The sequence below is a fragment of the Homo sapiens genome, chromosome 1 (assembly GCF_000001405.40).
Source record: "Homo sapiens chromosome 1, GRCh38.p14 Primary Assembly".
NCBI classification, from domain to species: Eukaryota; Metazoa; Chordata; class Mammalia; order Primates; family Hominidae; genus Homo; species Homo sapiens.
In genome coordinates, this window is record NC_000001.11 from 44,957,248 (window position 1) to 44,975,414 (window position 18,167).

The following is an 18,167-nucleotide window of genomic DNA, read 5'->3' on the forward strand; positions in this document are numbered from 1 at the left end:
AGGGCAAGACCTAAAAGTTTTCTATGCCCCCAAACACCACAAAGTCAAAAGACATCAAACTGCTACAGTTACAGAACTTCTAAAATTCAAGAAGGAAAACAACAAAAACTGAAGGTACTTTTAAAATTGAGAAAAAATAAAGTACATGAACAATTTACAAAGAAAGATCATAATGTATTCAATTTTTAAATGGTCCTTAAACATATAAAAAGATATTTAACTTCACTCATAATAAGAAAAATGCAGCTCACACCTGTGATCCCAGTACTTTAGGAGGCAGAGGCAGGCAGATCACTTGAGCTCAGGAGTTCGAGACCAGCCTGGCCAACATGACAAAACCTGGTCTCTACTAAAAATACAAAAATCAGCTGGGCGTGGTGGCATGTGCCTGTAATCCCAGCTACTTTGGAGGCTGAGGCAGGATAATCACTTGAACCTGAGAGGTGAAGGCTGCAGTGAGCTGAGATTGCGCCATTGCATTCCAGCCTGGATGACAGAGCAAGACTCCGTCTCCAAAAAAAAAAGAAAAATGCAAATTAAAATTCAAATGACTCTGAGCTACCATTTCTCACCAATTAGACTGGTGAGTCCATGTGGAAATAAACACTGTCATATATTGTTGCTAGGAATGCTAACTAGTACAACACTTTTGGATGGAAATTTGGTCATTTTTAACAAAGCTACACATGCAGTTTTATCCTTTGACCCAGTAATCCCACTTGTAAGAATTTATCATGCAACAATACCACTACTAATTGCAAAGTTATTCATTGCAGCAAAATATTGGAAGCTACCTAAAAACCCAACCATAGGAGTTGGTTGAGTAAAATATGTACAATGACTTTTTTTCCTTTCCATTTTGGTGGGCCGGTTGAAGATGAAATCCACTGAGAAGGGAAGGCCTGGGTCTTCAGCACCCTGTGTGCCAGTCCAGAACTGGCCTATCTACAGACCCCCTGAAAATCAAATGGGCTTGGATTTGGACATTCTCAATAAAAAGGGTTAAAGGCTGATGGGACCTAAAGCCTGGTACTTGAATTTTGATCAAGATACGCTGCCTTAAGTTCTCTTCATTACACAGATGATCCTAGGTAATTGATAGATCCTGTGGTTCAACTTGATTTCTAGATAGAAGCTGGATTCATGTGATGCCAGAGAAGTAAAATTTTAAGAGACCGAAACCAGATCGGAGTCTCACTGTTCCAGTCTGGACCTCTTTGGTGCTGTAAATCCTGGATATACAGTAGATGATTACTGCGTTTTTCTTTTATGGGCTGTCTTTAGCTTCTGGAGACCTCACTATCCTATTATGTCTTTGTGTGAAGACATGCTACTTTGTAATTATCAAAAGTGTGGCATCAAACTCTATGGCTATGCATGGGTCACTGCCTGCTCTCACATATTCTGTGATCAGCATGGCAGTGGTGAGTTTAGTCGCTCACCAGCTATCTGTGCTGCCTGAAACAGTACCCTTTCTGGAAAGCTAGATATTGTCCGCACAGAACTCAATCCATCAGAGAAATATAAAGCTATGGTATTGGCAGGACTGCGACAAGAGATCGTGTTGGACGTTAGCTCCTGAGCAGTGGGCTTCTGGACATATCAGGTACATCAGGAACATCTCTATCAAGAACACAATTTCATCAAGGCTGAGGGCCATCTGAAACAGACGGAGAAAATATATACTCAGCAAATACAAAGCGAGGATGTAGAATTGACCTCTATGAAAGGGGAAGTCACCTCCATGAAGAAAGTGCTAGAAGAATACAAGAAAAAGTTCAGTGACATCTGAGAAACTTATGGAACGCCATCTTCAGCATCAAAAGCTCCAAGGCCTCTATGATAGCCTTAGGCTACGTAACATCCCTATTGCTAACCGTGAAGGCACCCTTGAACCATCTACGATTGCACAGTCTGGTGTTTTTGGCTTCCCATTAGGAATAACAACTCCAAGTTTCCTTTGGATAGTACACCTGTTTAAATCAGGGTGATGGAGATGGAGATTTTCAGTTCAGACCTTTTTTTTTGTGGGTTCTTCCACAGCACCTGAAACCAGCAACAGCTTATTTAGTTTTGCCTCTCCTCTCTGAGTGGTGAATTAGAGCAGCAGCAATTTCTAGCAGGGCCTTCAAAGTAAAAAGAATTTGAGCCAGGCATGGTGTCACACACCTGTGATCCCAGCTACTTAGGAGACTGAGGCTGGGAGGATCACTTGAGCCCAGGAGTATGACACTGTAATGATCTAAGATCATGCCACTGCACTCCAGCCTGGGCAACAGAGTGAGACCCTATTTCTAAAAAACGTAAAGATAATTTAGCTAACTTTACAGAATGTTTCCAGGTTCACCTTCAGTAATTTCATTTAGCAAATCTTTTATCTAGATACGACTCCCCAGCCTCCCTGTGCTTTTAAGTCTCTGAAGTTGTCATCAAATTATCAACATAACAAACTCATTGGCAATGGGGAATGGTTTAGAGTCTGGTTTCTCTGTTCCTATTAATTAAAGCATGAGCATTTTATTAATCTCAATTTCATTGTGAACTGCTGAATCTTCATCCCTAGTGAGAAGGTCACAATAGTATTTGTTTCAACTCTGGGCTGTTTCTGACTGAGCTGTGTTGTTTATGCCTTAAGTACCTGTGTTATATGCTACACGTCACTTTGAATTCTAGTATTTATGCATATCTGTATATGTAAGTGTGTTAATTTACACTGATATTTTGCTGTATTTGCCAGTATGTTTATGTGAAAATTGGAAAATGGTGGGTGATATGTGGCTTGTTATTTGGGTATGTGTATTTATTTGTATATATTTATGTATTTACCTTCATATTAACTTGTTTGGAGGTGTGCTTATGTCAGTGAATGAGAGTACAATTTGATGCATGTATGTTCAGTCCCTATATGTATTTAAAAATAACTCACATTGATAAAGTTATTTTTTAAAGTTGACTTTTTTGACATTTACAGTTGGCCCTCTGTATCTGCAGGTACTGCATCTGCAGATTCAGCCAACCATATATCAAAAATATTCGAGAAAAAATAAAAATAATAATATAACAATAAAAAATACAAACTAAAAACTAATACTGTTTAAAAACCAATACTGGGCCGGGCGTGGTGGCTCACATCTGTAATCCCAGCACTTTGGGAGGCCGAGGCAGGCGGATCATGAGGTCAGGAGATCGAGACCATCCTGGCTAACACGGTGAAACCCCGTCTCTACTAAAGATACAAAAAATTAGCCAGGCGAGGTGGCGGGCGCCTGTAGTCCCAGCTACTCCGGAGGCTGAGGCAGGAGAATGGCGTGAACCCGGGGGCGGAGCTTGCAGTGAGCCGAGATCGCGCCACTGCACTCCAGCCTGGGCAACACAGCGAGACCCCGTCTCAAAAAAAAAAGACAAAAAACCAATACTGGATAACAACTATTTGGATAGCATTTACACTGTAGATATTATAAATAATTTAGAGGTGATTTAAAGTATTTGGGAGAACTTGTAGGTTATATGCAAATACCATGCCATTTTATAAAAGCAACATGAGCATCCAAGGATTTTGGTATCTGTGAGGGTTCCTGGAACCAATACCCCAAAGATACCAAAGGACGACTGTATTTTAAAATAAAGCTACTTCTTTCCTTACCTTTTTGTCAACTGTTGCCTTTGGTTTACTTATTCAGGAATATACTTCTGCAGAAAGTTTACCAATGTGTTACTGATCTCAAGAGACTGTATTAAAATAATTTAAAAGATTTTTAAAAATATATGTACAATGAGGTACTATGTAGCTGTTAAAAAAAAAAAATCTGGTCAAGCAGTTTCTTACACTTGTCATCCTAGCAGTCTGGGAGGCTGAGGCAGGAGGATTGCTTGAGGCCAGGACTTCAAGAGCAGCCTGGACAACAAAGCAAGACCCCCTTTCTACAAAAAATAAAAAAAAGATCAGCTGGGAGTGGTGGTGAGTACCTCTAGTCCCAGCTACAGGCTTGAGCCCAGGAAGACGAGGCTGCAGTGAGCCATGATCATGCCACTGCACTCCAACCTGGGCAACAGAGTGAGACCCTGTCTCAAAAAAAAAAAAAAAAAAAAGTCTCCATTAACTGAAATGGAGTGATTTCCAGGATATACTGTCAAGTGAAAAACAGGGCCGGGTGCATTGGCTCATCACACCTGTAATCCTAGCACTTTAGGAGGCAGAGGCAGGAGGACTGCTTGAGCCCAGAAATTTGAGACCAGCCTGGGTAACATAGCAAGACCTCATCTCCACAAAAATAATTTTTTAAATTAGGCAGGTGTGGTGGTGTGTGCCTGTATTCCCAGCTACTTGGAGCTGAAGTGGGAAGATCGCCTTGTTTATTTCTCTCTCCTTATAGAGTAGATCTAAGAGGACAGGTATCTTTTTTATCTGGATTACCACTATATTTATAGCATCTCTGAATAGGATATATACTAAGTATTCAACACATATTTGTTGAATAAGCTAAAAATATTAATATTTTATAGATGAATCAAATGCAAGTTTGAAAGGGACTCATAACTTCCAAGGTCACATAGCTAGTGAATGACAGAACAAGAATTATCTATCTAGGTCTACCTCTCTTATGAAAGCCTGTGTTCTTTTCACCACATCACCCTACCTTATCACAAAAAATAAAATAATCCTGCCAGGCACAGTGGCTCACACCTGTAATCCCAGCACTTTGGGAGGCCAAGGCGGGTGGATCACTTGAGGTCAGGAGTTCAAGACCAGCCTGGGCAACATGATGAAATCTTGTCTCTACTAAAAACACAAAAAGTAACTGGGTGTAGTGGCATGCACCCATAATCGCAGCTACTCAGGAGGCTGAGACAGGAGAATCACTTGAACCTGGGAGGCAGAGGTTGCAGTGAGCTGAGACTGCGCCACTGCACTCCAGCCTGGGTGACAAGAGCGAAACTCCGTCTCAATCATCATCAACATCATCATCATCATCATCATCATCATCATCATCATCATCCTTCCTCTGGGAGAACATTCTTGGGGTAGAGGACCAGCCATGTCAGTAAACTTAGGGCTTGTTGGAAACTCACAGATGCAAATAAAGTGAACACCAAGCAGCCAATGCTATAATCAGTTCTTCTAATCTACAGTCACTGAAATTCATCCTTAGGTTCACATAAACATGCATCTATTTATTTTTTAGAGATGAGTTTCTCACTTTATTGGCCAGGTTGGGGAGCAGTGGCGCGATCACAGCACTGTTGCCTAAAATTCTTGGGCTCAGGGGATCCTCCCTCTTCAGCTTCCCAAGTAGCTGTGACTACTGGTGCACACCACTGTACCTGGCTAATCTAAAAAAATTTGTGTAGCGATGAGGGAGTCTCACCATCTTGCCCAGGTTGGCCTCAAACTCCTGGGCTCAAGTGATCCTCCTGCCTTGGCCTCCCAAAGTGCTGGGATTACAGGTGTGAGCCACTGTACCTGACCTAAACATGTGTGTCTATATTAAGGGAGTAAGGAACTTAAGGAACTTATTTTAAATGTTTACAAATAACTTGCTTCCGGCTGTCATTCATTCATTCAACAAATAATATTGGACAAACTCTTTGTGCCAGGCCCAGATATAGTTCTTGCCTCACAGTATAGCAACAATATGACAGATGTCTTCTAATCCCTGTGTAAATACAGAAAAATGACACCGGATTCAGTCTTAAAAGACCAGACAGCTGGGTGCAGTGGCTCATGCCTGTAATCCCAACATTTTGGGAGGTGAGCAGACTGCTTGAGCCCAGGAGTTCGAGCCTGGGCACCATGGCAAAACCCCATCTCTTCAAAAAATTAGATGGGCATGGTGGTACACACTTGTAGTCCCAGTTACTGGGGAGGCTGAGGTGAGAGGATCACCTGATCCCAGGAGGCTGAGGTTGCAGTGAGCTGAGATCATGCCACTGTACTCCAGCCTGGGCAAGAGTGAGATCTGGACTCAAAAAACAAAAACAAAAACAAAAAAAACAAAACAAAAAAAAACCCCAGAAAACCAGGGGGGAAATCTTTTTTTTTTTTGACAGGGTCTCACTCTGTTGCTCGGGCTGAAGTGCAGTGGCTGATCTCAGCTCACTGCAACCTCTGTCTCCCAGGCTCAGGTGATCCTCCCACCTCAGCCTCTTGAGTAGCTGGGACTACAGGCACATGCCATCACACCTGGCTAACTGTTACATTTTTTGTAGAGACAGGGTTTTGCCACGTTGTCCAGGCTAGTCTCAAACTCCTGGGCTCAAGCAATTCACCCGCCTCAGCCTCCCAAAGTGCTGGGATTACAGGCATGAGCCACTGTGCCTGGCCAACCAGGGAAGTCTTGTTGGCACAGATGATGCCTAAGTTAAGAGCCTAAGTAGCTACAGGCTACTTCAAATGAACTCTCTGGTCATGGTGACAGAATGCTTACTGACTTCCCATAAATTGTACTGCACCTTTCCACTACTCGGGCTGTAATGTTACTTCATGATTCAGAGTAGAATAAGTGGCCCTACTAAGAGTTTCCAAAAATCAAAGTCATGCAGGCTGCTTATTATCCAATGATGCAGTAAGTTTGTGATGACAGTCTGTGTTATCACAGTTGCTAGCTAGTAACTTTTCCCTCTACCCTATAGCCCTTCATCCCCTGACAGGGTCCTAAGGAAGGAAAATGACTTAAAAGAATCAGACTCAAACACAGGGCTTGCAAGTTTTTTGGCTGTCAAATTAAGTACAGGGCTACAGAAGTCCTATCCCACAGATCAGAGTTCCAAAAAGTAACAGTCTGAAAAAGTAAGGTGAAAACATTTCAATGTTGTAGATACATATACTAGGTTAGTATCAAAATAGGTTAGTATCAAAAGAAAAGCTCCATTGAGATTTCTTGGCCAAAAAAAAAAAAAAAAGACTCCAAAATTTTTATATCCAACTCGTTTCTGCCAGTAATGTTGGGCTTTTCACTACGCCACCAGTAGACTCCAGGAAGGCATCATCAGGATTACACTGAGGCTGTCGTAAGCAACCATGGCCCACCAAAGCAGTCTTAAGGAACGTTGCCACTTAATAAAGTCTTTAAGCAAGTTGGGACCAAGTTCTCAGATCTTCCCTTGACCAACTGTATTTACTCTTTTCAAGATGATAGAAATCTGACAAATAAAAATCTCTGGGAAAAATGAAAGGTTCCAGGAAAGAATGACAGAGATTTGTAATTTGATAAAAGACATCAAACACTCAACTGAAAATAACTTGCATTTAGCTTTTTGAACATCTGAAAATAGTACATATGCTCAGTCTTTCTAATAAGCTGTCTCCAGCATGGGGATTTCATTGGCATAGTTTGTTCTTTGTTGTAACATGTTAGCTGTTTCATAAGACATAACAATAGTCCTTTCTCTACATCAAAGGACTTAAGGAACTATACCTCTAACGACTAGTGTGTTGGTATTATTATCCCTACTTTCTTGGTTGTGAAACTGAGGCACAGGGTAAATGAGGCTTGCTTGAAGCCAAAGATTCCTGTCTAGATTAAATAGAGAATTATCAACTCTGGAATTTCTAAATTAAAAGAAGCAATGAGACCGGCAATATAAAACAAATACTTTAAACATAGGCTACAGAACTCTATTATGGATTTAGTCTGCTTGAAGCCTCTAAAATATACCTCACTAACTTGTTCTCGAGGAATAATCGCAGTCTGTTTCTAAAGCACACAAAAACAGCACCAATGGCTGGTTACCCCAGATAGTTAGAGCAACAGCTCTAATATGGGTCAGGATCCATATCCAAGGAGTCAGCCAGCTTTGCTTTATGTGCAGCTCACAGACCGCACCTTTACTTAACAACACTTCTTGTTCACATGGCTCTAGACATAGGACAAAAATTTCTCCTATAAGCCTGGAATTCCCTCCACTTAGAGAAAGAGATCAACAAGCAATAGCTGCACACCTGCAAGACAAGGATACTACATGAGTCCTGTTAGGAGATTTGCTCATTTCTAAGTATGTTTTACACAAAACTAATTAAGAGTTTATACATATTAAGAACCACTGAATTGTACACTTTAAAAGAGTTCTATACATACATACAACTATCTAATCTACATATAAAATTCTACATATCTGAACACCACAGAAAAGAACACCACTCAAAAAAAGAAATTTTGAAAATAGCAGACCAAGTAAACCTGGTAGAATCTTTAGAACAGGTTTAGAACTAAACGTGTTCTAAAGCCAAAAGTCTAGAGTTAGAGTGATTATAAAGACTACTAATGCTTAGTGGAGGCAACTAATACTACTAATGTACTAAAAGTACTAATTAGTACTAAAGTACTAATGCTTTTGGAGGCAATACAATAGTCAAAAAGGCCTGGGTATCTGAGATGCACAAATGCATCTTTTTTTTTTTTTTTTTTTTTTTGAGACGGAGTCTCACTCTGTGGCCCAGGCTGGAGTGCAGTGGCATGATCTCAGCTCACTGCAACCTCTGCCTCCCGGGTTCAAGCGATCTTCGTGCCTCGGCCTCCTGAGTAGCTGGGACTACAGGTGCACACTACTATGCCCAGCTAATTTTTGTATTTTTAGTAGAGACAAGGCTTCTCCATGTTGGCCAGGCTGGTCTGGAACACCTGACCTCAAGTGATACACCCGCCTCAGCCTCCCAAAGTGCTGGGATTACAGGTGTGAGCCACCATGCCTGGCCAAAAGTGTATACCATATTCTTACTTCTCTCCTAGACTGTAAAGCGTAGTTAAAAGCATAGCCTCTGAAGGAAGAGAACCGGTTCAATCACTAACTCTTCCATTAAACTCTGAAGACTCAGTCCCCTTATCTATTCACAGTAAGATATGAAAAGGCTAGAGCAGTCTTAGCCCTATGAACTCTCAAAACTAACAAACCAACACTGTCTTTAAAAATGAAGGCCGGGCGCAGTGGCTCAGGCCTGTAATCCCAGCACTTCGGGAGGCTGAGGAAGGAGGATCACAAGGTCAAGAGATCGAGACCATCCTGGCTAACATGGTGAAACCCTGTCTCTACTAAAAATACAAAAAATTGGCCAGGCGTGGTGGCGGGTGCCTGTAGTCCCAGCTACTTGGGAGGCTGAGACAGGAGAATGGCGTGAACCTGGGGGGCGGAGCTTGCAGTGAGCCGAGATTATGCCACTGCACTCCAGCCTGGGCGACAGAGCGAGACTCTGTCTCAAAAAAAAAAAAAAAAAAGAAGAAGAAGAAGCCTGGCACTAAATAGAAATTGCCAGGAGTAGAATCCAAATTAAGCAGGACAAAGACAATCCAAGAGCACAGGAACCAGAAAAGACAGATAAAACGGCGATAAAGGAACAGTGGAGGAAGATCTTAAAAGAGGGGGCTCTAGAGCTGTGAAGCTAAAAAAGCAATTCTGACTCACTCTTCTCTTCTGAAAATGTAGAAAGACCAACTTCAGATAAAAATTACAAACAGAAAACAATTACAGTCAAATCCTATACAAAGTTATTATCAAAAAAGATAATAAAGATTAAAATAACATTCCTATAATGAAAGCACATATAAGAAAGACATGCCCACAAACAGATGAAATCCATAGACTAATATTTCTGTTTTTTTGAGACGGAGTCTCACTCTGTTGCCAGGCTGGAGTGCAATGGCGCGACCTCAGCTCACCGCAACCTCCGTGTCCCAGGTTCAGGCAATTCTCCTGCCTCCCGAGTAGCTGGGACTACGAGCACACGCCACTATGGCCAGCTAATTTTTATATTTTTAGTAGAGATGGGGTTTCACCATGTTGGCCAGGATGGTCTCGATCTCTTGACCTCGTGATCTGCCTGCCTCGGCCTCCCAAGGTGCTGGGATTACAGGTGTGAGACACCATGCCCGGCCTTCCATAGCCTCATATTTCAAAATAAGCTAAAGTAAGAAAATGATAAATGTGGCTGGGCGTGGTGGCTCACGCTTGTAATCCCAGCACTTTGGGAGGCTGAGGCAGGCAGATCACTTGAGGTCAAGAGTTCGAGACCAGCCTGGCCAATATGGTGAAACCCCATCTCTAATAAAAATACAAAAATTAGCCAGGCATGGTGGCTCACACCTGTAGTCCCAGCTACTTGAGGGGCTGAGGCAGAGGAATCACTTGAACCTGGGAGGCAGAGGTTGCGAAAAGCCGAGATCCCACCACTGCACTCCAGCGTGGGCAACAGAGCGAGACTCTGTCTCAAAAAAAAAAAAGGCCAGGCGTGGTGGCTCATGCCTGTAATCCCAGCACTTTGGGATGCCGAGGCAGGCGGATCACGAGGTCAGGAGTTTGAGACCATCCTGGCTAACACGGTGAAACCCTGTCTCTACTAAAAATATAAAAAATTAGCCGGGTGTGGTGGCACATGCCTGTAGTCCCAGCTACTGGGGAGGCTGAGGCAGGAGAATCGCTTGAACCCAGGAGGCAGAGGTTGCAGTGAGCCAAGACTGTGCCATTGCACTCCCGTCTGGCGACAGAGTGAGATGCTGTCTTCAAAAAAAAAAAAAAAAAAAAGGCCAGGCACGGTGTCACGCCTGTAATCCCAGCACTTTGGGAGGCCGAGGCGAGCAAATCAAGAGGTCAGGAGTTCGAGACCAGCCTGGCCAACAGGGTGAAACCCTGTCTCCACTAAAAGTACAAAAATTAGTCAGGCGGGGTGGCACATGCCTGTAATCCCAGCTACTCAGGGGGCTGAGACAGGAGAATCGCTTGAACCTGGGAGGTGGAGGTTGCAGTGAGCCGAGATTGTGCCACTGCACTCCAGCCTGGGCGACAGAGTGAGACTCCATTTTGAAAATAAATAAATAAAAATAAAAATAAAAATATAAAAGAAAAGGCCTGGTGCAGTGACTCTTGCCTGTAAATCCCATTACTTTGGGAAGCTGAGGCAGGCAGATCATTTGAGTCCAGGAGTGTGAGACCAGCCTAGGTAACAAGGCAAAACCCTGTCTCTGCAAAAAAGAAAAATAAATTAGCTGGGTGTGGTGGCATGTTCCTATAGTCCCAGTCACTCAGAAGGCTATGATGGGAGGATGGCTTGAGCCCAGGAGGTCAGGGCTGAAGTGAGTCACGTTCGGCAACACTCCAGCCTGGGCGACAGAGTGAGACTCTGCCTCTTAAAAAAAGGAAAAAAAAAAAAAAGACTGAAACTTCACATGAAAAGAACTTACTACATATCTAAAAAACATGATTCAGAACAATCAATAAGATACATTATATAGAAAAACCACAAGATATTAAAGAAAAATAAAAACTCCTTTGGGAATCCAGACAAAAGGACCAAGTCACTCATAAGGGAAAGAAAAACAGATTTTATCTGGACTGTTTTGACAACAACGCTGTATGTCAAAAGATAATGAAAGAATACATTTAGGCCGGTGCAGTGGCTCACGCCTGTAATCCCAGCACTTTGGGAGGCCGAGGCGGGCGGATCATGAGGTCAGGAGTTCGAGACCAGCCTGGCCAACATGGTGAAGCCCCGTCTCTACTAAAAATACAAAAATTAGCCAGGCATGGTGGCGTGTGCCTGTAATCCCAGCTACTTGGAAGGCTGAGGCAGGAGAACTGCTTAAACCTGGGAGGCGGAGGTTGCAGTGAGTTGAGATTGCGCCATGCACTCCAGCCTAGGTGACAAGAGCAAAACTCCATCTCAAAAAAAAAAAAAAAGATACATTTAATATACTCAAGGAAAACATGTCAGTCACGGATTCTATATCCAAATAAATTGGCTTTGAAACATAACGGTGGCAGATTACTTGTTGAACATTATATGCGCCCTCCTTTAGGAATCTATTAGAAATAAGCTTCAGACAAATGACTGGAGACACAAGGAATGGGGACTCGTGTGCAGTGATCATCAACGGCTGCTAACATCACAAAATGAAAGACAACCAGATAATCATGTACCTGCAGATGGAAGAACACACCACTGCCTTGCCAAAAATTCAAACCTAAACCTAATCAAGCCTCAAGTTCAACTACTAATTTACAGACTATACATACAGAGAAACACTCATTAAATCAACAAAAACCTAGTTTCTTCAACAATTAAATTACAAGGGGGAAAAAAGAAATGGAGGGAAAACCTATATATCAAGAGACTTAAAAGACATTTCAACCAATTGTAATGTGTAATCCTTATTCACTTCCTAAGTTAAATAAACACATTTGAAAAAACATGCTGAAATTATATTTATGAGGCAACTGAAAACTCAAACACTGATTAGATACTTAATGATACCAAAGAATTATTATTGATTTGGTTTTTTACTGTTTTTTAGAAGTGATAGTGGTATTTCTAAAAAGTGCCCTTATTTTTATAATATATTCTAAAATATTTACAGATAAAATTATATGTCTAAGATTTGCTTCAAAAGAATATGGGAGAAAGCAAGTTGGGTAAAATATAGATAAAATAAGATTTGCTATAGGTTGTTAACTGTTGATGCTGGGTGACAGATAAATGGGCAATGTTGATTACTTTTGTACAAGTTTTAAAATTTCCATATAAGAAGTTAAAATATTAACTATGTCTGGTCTACAACTTGTGTTTAACAATGGCAATTATCATTATTCTTATTAGTTGACTCTGAATATTTACTAAATGAATGAGTTTAGACATAGATAAGAATGAATGATTTATCAACAAATATGAAACATTATTATGGAGAAAATATGAAATCTAAGAGCATTCATGTTATCAACGTCAGTTGTAAGAGTGGAGCTCACTCACCCAGGGCCTGGGAGAATGAATGAACCAATAATCTCTCTTGATAAGTCAGGGAAAGAGGTTTGGGTAGCTGAAATAAAAAGTGAGAACCAGTAAATCAGTAAAATTGTGGGGTTAGATAAAGCAAAATGAAGTAGAAAATGGTGCCAGAAAGTATAAAACCAAATGAAATATGTGTCCTTTAAGTGAAAAAACATAACTTAGCAAATATGGTATCTAACTTCAATATCCTATAAGCACATGTGATGGAGGTTTCCACATATAAGTAGGACTGCAATACATTTAGCAAATATAAGGTAAAGGAAAAACATTATAAGTTAAAAATTGTTTTAACAAAAAAAAGCCAAATAAAGTGAATGTACTACTCTGGCCTTTGTCTGAGAACAGAAGTCAAACACGAAGACCTCACAATAATAGCTGGGAAACTCAATCTGGAGGAAGTGGGTAAAGATAAAACCAAAAGCCAATAAACCTCAAACTTTTAGGGAATGTTCTTATCTTACCTAAAATCTTATTGGAAACAGACCAAAAGAGCCTATTAATGTTTAGGAGCTCTTTTGTGGGCACACGGGAAGAAAAAACATGGGCTTAAAGGGCCACTGTGTCATGCATGGCACAGCTGCTCAGTGCAACTTTCTCCTTTAGAGAGATAACCGACATCCCTTAGCAAACACTGACAACTTACTTCTTAGGCTGTCTCACTTTCTTCAACTGTTTATACGCACTTCCACTGCCCTTTCTACAAGTTTATGTTAATTCTAATCAGTTAATTCTGAATTTTGGCTTAGCTCAGTTCCTAACAGCTATTTGGGCATTTATTTACGTTCTTCCAACAGTTAGCCTTGTTGCCTTCTACTCCTGGTTGGAAGGCAATCTGATATGAAGCCAGGATTTCAGGGGCTATTGTAGTAAGAAAAAACCAAGTAAAGATAGCAAAGACTTGCTGGCCAAAGTCACAGCTTGGAAGATGGCTCAGAGGTAGGATTATATGTAAGAGATTCTGTGTAAATGATGTGGGGGAACGGGTAACGGAGGAACAGAAATTAGACTGCAGAAGGACTTAGTAAAGATTCTGATTTTAGGTGCAAGGGGAAGCCCTAAAATAAGGAGTAAAAGATCAAAGTCATGGCCGGGCGCAGTGGCTCACGCCTATAATCCCAGCACTTTGGGAGGCCGAGGCGGGCGGATCCCGAAGTAGGAGATCGAGACCATCCTGGCCAACATGGTGAAACCCTGGCTCTACTAAAAATACAAAAAAATTAGTCGGGCTTGGTGGCAGGCACCTGTAGTCCCAGCTACTCGGGAGGCTGAGGCAGAAGAATGGCGTGAACCCAGGAGGCAGAGCTTGCAGTGAGCCCGCACTCCAGCCTGGGCTACAGAGCGAGACTCCGTCTCCAGAAAAAAAAAAAAAAAAAATCAAAGTCATACAAAAAGGCAGTAACTTGGAGAGTAAAATGCCCCTTTGGAGGTTACTTTACTTTCCTTCTCATGCCTTCTCTCCTAACAGTTGCCACTATTACTTCTCAAGCCTCCAAGTATTAGAGGAACTTATTTGCCTGGGACTTTCAAGATCTCTAGCTTACTGGGCCAAAAATAACTTTTCTAAAATTCAGAGATTATAGAGCAAAGAAAGTTTACACATCCATTCTAAACTTTTAGATGGTAGCTAATACAGCTCTGAGAAGACCACCAAAAATCCCAAGCTCTTTGCAAATCAAAACTACAGTAAGATACTAACTCATGCTTATTGGGATGACTACTATTAAGAAAAAAATAGGCTGGGTGAGGTGGCTCATGCCTGTAATCCCAGCACATTGGGAGGCTGAGGTGGGTGGATCACGAGGTCAGGAGTTTGAGACCAACCTGGCCAACATGGTGAAACCCCGTCTCTATACTAAAAATACAAAAATTAGCTGGCCGTGGTGGTATGCACCTGTAATTCCAGCTACTCAGGAGGCTGAGGCAGGAGAATCGCTTGAACCTGGGAGGAAAGGTTGCAGTAAGCCGAGATTGCACCATTGCACTCCAGCCTGGGCAACAGAGCAAGACTCCTTCTCAAAAACAAAAAAACAAACAAACAAAAATAAGCAGAAAATAAATACTGGGAAGGATGTGGAGAAACTGGAACCATAGGCTAGGCATGGTGGCTCATACTTGTAATCCCAGCACTTTGGGAGGCCAAGGTGGAGGATCACTTGAGCCCAGGAGTTCGAGACCAGCCTGGGCAACATAGTGAGACTCTGTCTCTAAAAAAAAATACACACACACACACACAAACACACACACACACACATATACACACACAAACACACACATGTATATACACACACACACATATATATATATATCCAGGCACGGTGGCTCATGCCTGTAATCCCAGCACTTTGGGAGGCCAAGGTGGGTGGATCACCTGAGATCGGGAGTTTGAGACCAGCCTGACCAACATGGAGAAACCCTGTCTCTACTAAAAACACAAAATTAGCTGGGTGTGGTGGCGCATGCCTGTAATCCCAGCTACTCAGGAAGGTGAGGCAGGAGAATCGCTTGAACCTGGGAGGCAGAGGTTGCGGTGAGCCGAGATCACGCCATTGCACTCCAGCCTGGGCAACAAGAGCAAAACTCCGTTTTAAAAAATAATAATAAATAAATACACACACACACACACACACACACACACACACACTGATTTTAATTTATTTATATATTTTTTTGAGACAGAATCTCCCTCTGTTGCCCAGGCTAGAGTGCAGTGGTACGATCTCAGCTCACTGCAACCTTCACCTCTCGAGCACAAGCAGTCCTCAACCTCAGCCTCCTGAGTACCTGGGACTACAGGTGTGTGTCACCATGCGTGGCTAATTTTTGTATTTTGGGGGCAATATAGTGAAACACCCTCATCTCAACAAAAAATAAAAAGTTAGCTGGGTGTGGCAACATATGCCCATGGTTCCAGCTACTCAGGAGGCTGAGATAGGAGCATCGCTTGACCCTGGGAGGTCAATGCTGCAGTGAGCCATGATTGCGCCATGGCACTCCAACCTGGATGTCAGAACGAAATCCTGTCTCAAAAACAAAACAAGAAAAGAAAGAGAGAAAGAGGTTGGAGCCCTTGTACACTGTTGGTGGCAATGTAAAATGGTATAGCCACTGTGGAAAACAGTATGGCAGTTCATTAAAAAATTAAACACAGAAATAGCATATAATCCAGCAACTACATTTCTCAGTATAAATCAAAAGAACTGAAAGAGGGTCTCAAAGAAATATTTGTACATCCATATTCACAGCTGCATTATTCACAATAGCTAAAATGTGGAGGCAACCCAAGTGTCCGTGGATGGATGAATGGCTAAGCAAAATGTGGCATATCCATAAAATAGAATATTCCTCAGCCTTAAAAACGAAGTAAATTCTGCAGTATGCTACAATATGGATGAACCTTGAGGATGTTATGCTAAGTAAGCCAATCACAAAAAATAAATACTGGAGGCCAAGGTGGGCAGATCACTTGAGGCCAGACGTTCGAGACTAGCCTGGCCAACATGGCGAAACCCCATTTCTACTAAAAATACAAAAACTAGCCAGGTGTAGTAGGTAGGGCATGCACCTGTAGTTCCAGCTACTCAGGAGGCTGAGGCACAAGACATGCTTGAACCTGGGAGGTAGAGGCTGCAGTGAGCTGAGATCATGCCACTGCACCCCAGCCAGGGTGATAGAGTGAGACTCTGTCTCAAAAAAAAAGAAAGACAAATACTCTATGATTCCACTTACATGAGGTACTTAGAGGTAGTCAAAATCATAGAAATAGGAAGTAGAATGGTAGCTGCCATGGGCTAGGAGGAGGGGGATGTTAGTATTTAATGGTAATAGAGTTTCAGTTTCACAAGATGAAGGTTATAGAGATGGAGGGTGGTAATGGTTGCACAACATTATAAATGTGCTTAATACCACTGAACTGTACACTTGACCCAAATTTTCTTCTCATTACCCTAATGGAATTCCCCAAATATTCTCTAAACAAATAATCAGCGGTACTCCAGAAAGCAACACACCCCACATTATTGTATTGGAAGCCCCCACTCTAATCAGAAGCACCCAAAATCCACTTGAGAGAAAATACAGAAAAGTAGAAGGAAGGCCAAAAGTGAATGGAAATGCCTATATACATTGTACTGGAGGTCCTGGCCAGGGCAATGAGACAATTTTTTTTTTTTTTAAAGAGCTGGGCATAGTGGCTCATGCCTGTAATCACAGCATTTTGAGAGGGCAAGGTTGGGGGTATCACTTCTGTCCAGGAGTTCCAGACCAGGCCTGGGCAATACAGTGAGATCCTTTCTCTCTATATATAAAAAAAGTCCAGGTGTGGTGGTGCATGCCTGTAGTCTCAGCTACTTGGGAGGCTTAGGTAGGAGGATCACCTGAGCCTGGGGAGGTCGAGGTTACAGTGAGCCGTGATCGAGCCACTGCACTCCAGCCTGGACAACAAAGTAAGACCCTGGTCTAAAAAAAAAAAAAAGAAAAAAAAAGAAATTAGCCGGGCATGGTGGCACATGCCTGTAGTCCTAGTTACTTAGTTACTTGGGAGCCTGAGGTGGGAGGACTGCTTGAGCCCAGGAGTTTGGGGCTACAGTGAGCTGTGACCACACAACTGCACACTAGCCTGGGTGACAGAGTGAGACTGTCTCAAAAAATAAAATTAATGTAATTTAATTTTTAAAAAGAATAAAGATTAAGAAGGAAGATATAATACTGTTTTTATTTGCAGGCAATATGATGATAAGGTCCTAAACGAATCTATAATTTAAAAGGTCACAGCGCATAATGCCAAAATACAAAAATCAATTGTATTTCTATGTACAAGCAATAAACAATTGAAAATAGAAAAAATACCAGTTACAATATCATTAAAAATATTTACCTAGGAATAAATTTATCAAGACATGTTCAAAATTTCTACATTGGGCTGGGTGTGGTGGCTCATGCCTGTTATCCCAGCACTTTAGGAGACTGAAGTGGGAGGACAGCTTGAGCCCTGGAGTTTGAAACTAGCCTGAGCAACACAGTGAGACATCTCTACTAAAATAAAAATCTAAAAAATTAGCTGTGCATGGTAGCATGTGCCTGTAGTCCCATCTACTTGAGAGGCTGATGTGGAGATCACTTGAGCCCAGGAGGTTGAGGCTGCAGTGAGCCTTGATCACACCACTGCACTCCAGCCTGGACGACAGAGCAAGGCTGTCTCAAGAAAAAAAAAATCATCACTGAAAATTACAAAACTCAGTTGAGAGAAATTAAGCGAAACTTAAATAAATAGATACACAATTATGTGTTACTTAATGACAGCGATATGTTCTGAGAAATCCGGTATGTTCTGAGAAATGCATTGTTAGGTGATTTCGTTGTGCGAACATCATAGAATGTACTTACTCAAACCTAGATAGTA

At 41.9% G+C, this 18,167-nt stretch overlaps 1 protein-coding gene and 1 pseudogene across 6 annotated transcripts in view; one reads left to right on the forward strand and one right to left on the reverse strand.

Moving 5' to 3' along the window:
• Positions 1-18,167, reverse strand: part of EIF2B3 (eukaryotic translation initiation factor 2B subunit gamma) — a 136,074-nt gene that overhangs the window by 106,726 nt on the left and 11,181 nt on the right. The window contains exon 1 of one of the 6 annotated variants that reach the window (XM_047433501.1): positions 12,731-12,784. The exons of the other annotated variants lie outside the window; for them this stretch is intronic. The gene's annotated coding sequence lies outside the window, so the exon portion shown is untranslated. Of the gene's footprint in view, positions 1-12,730; positions 12,785-18,167 lie in introns of those variants that run through there. 6 annotated transcript variants of the gene reach the window in all.
• CCNB1IP1P1 (cyclin B1 interacting protein 1 pseudogene 1) lies at positions 846-2,327 on the forward strand (annotated as a pseudogene).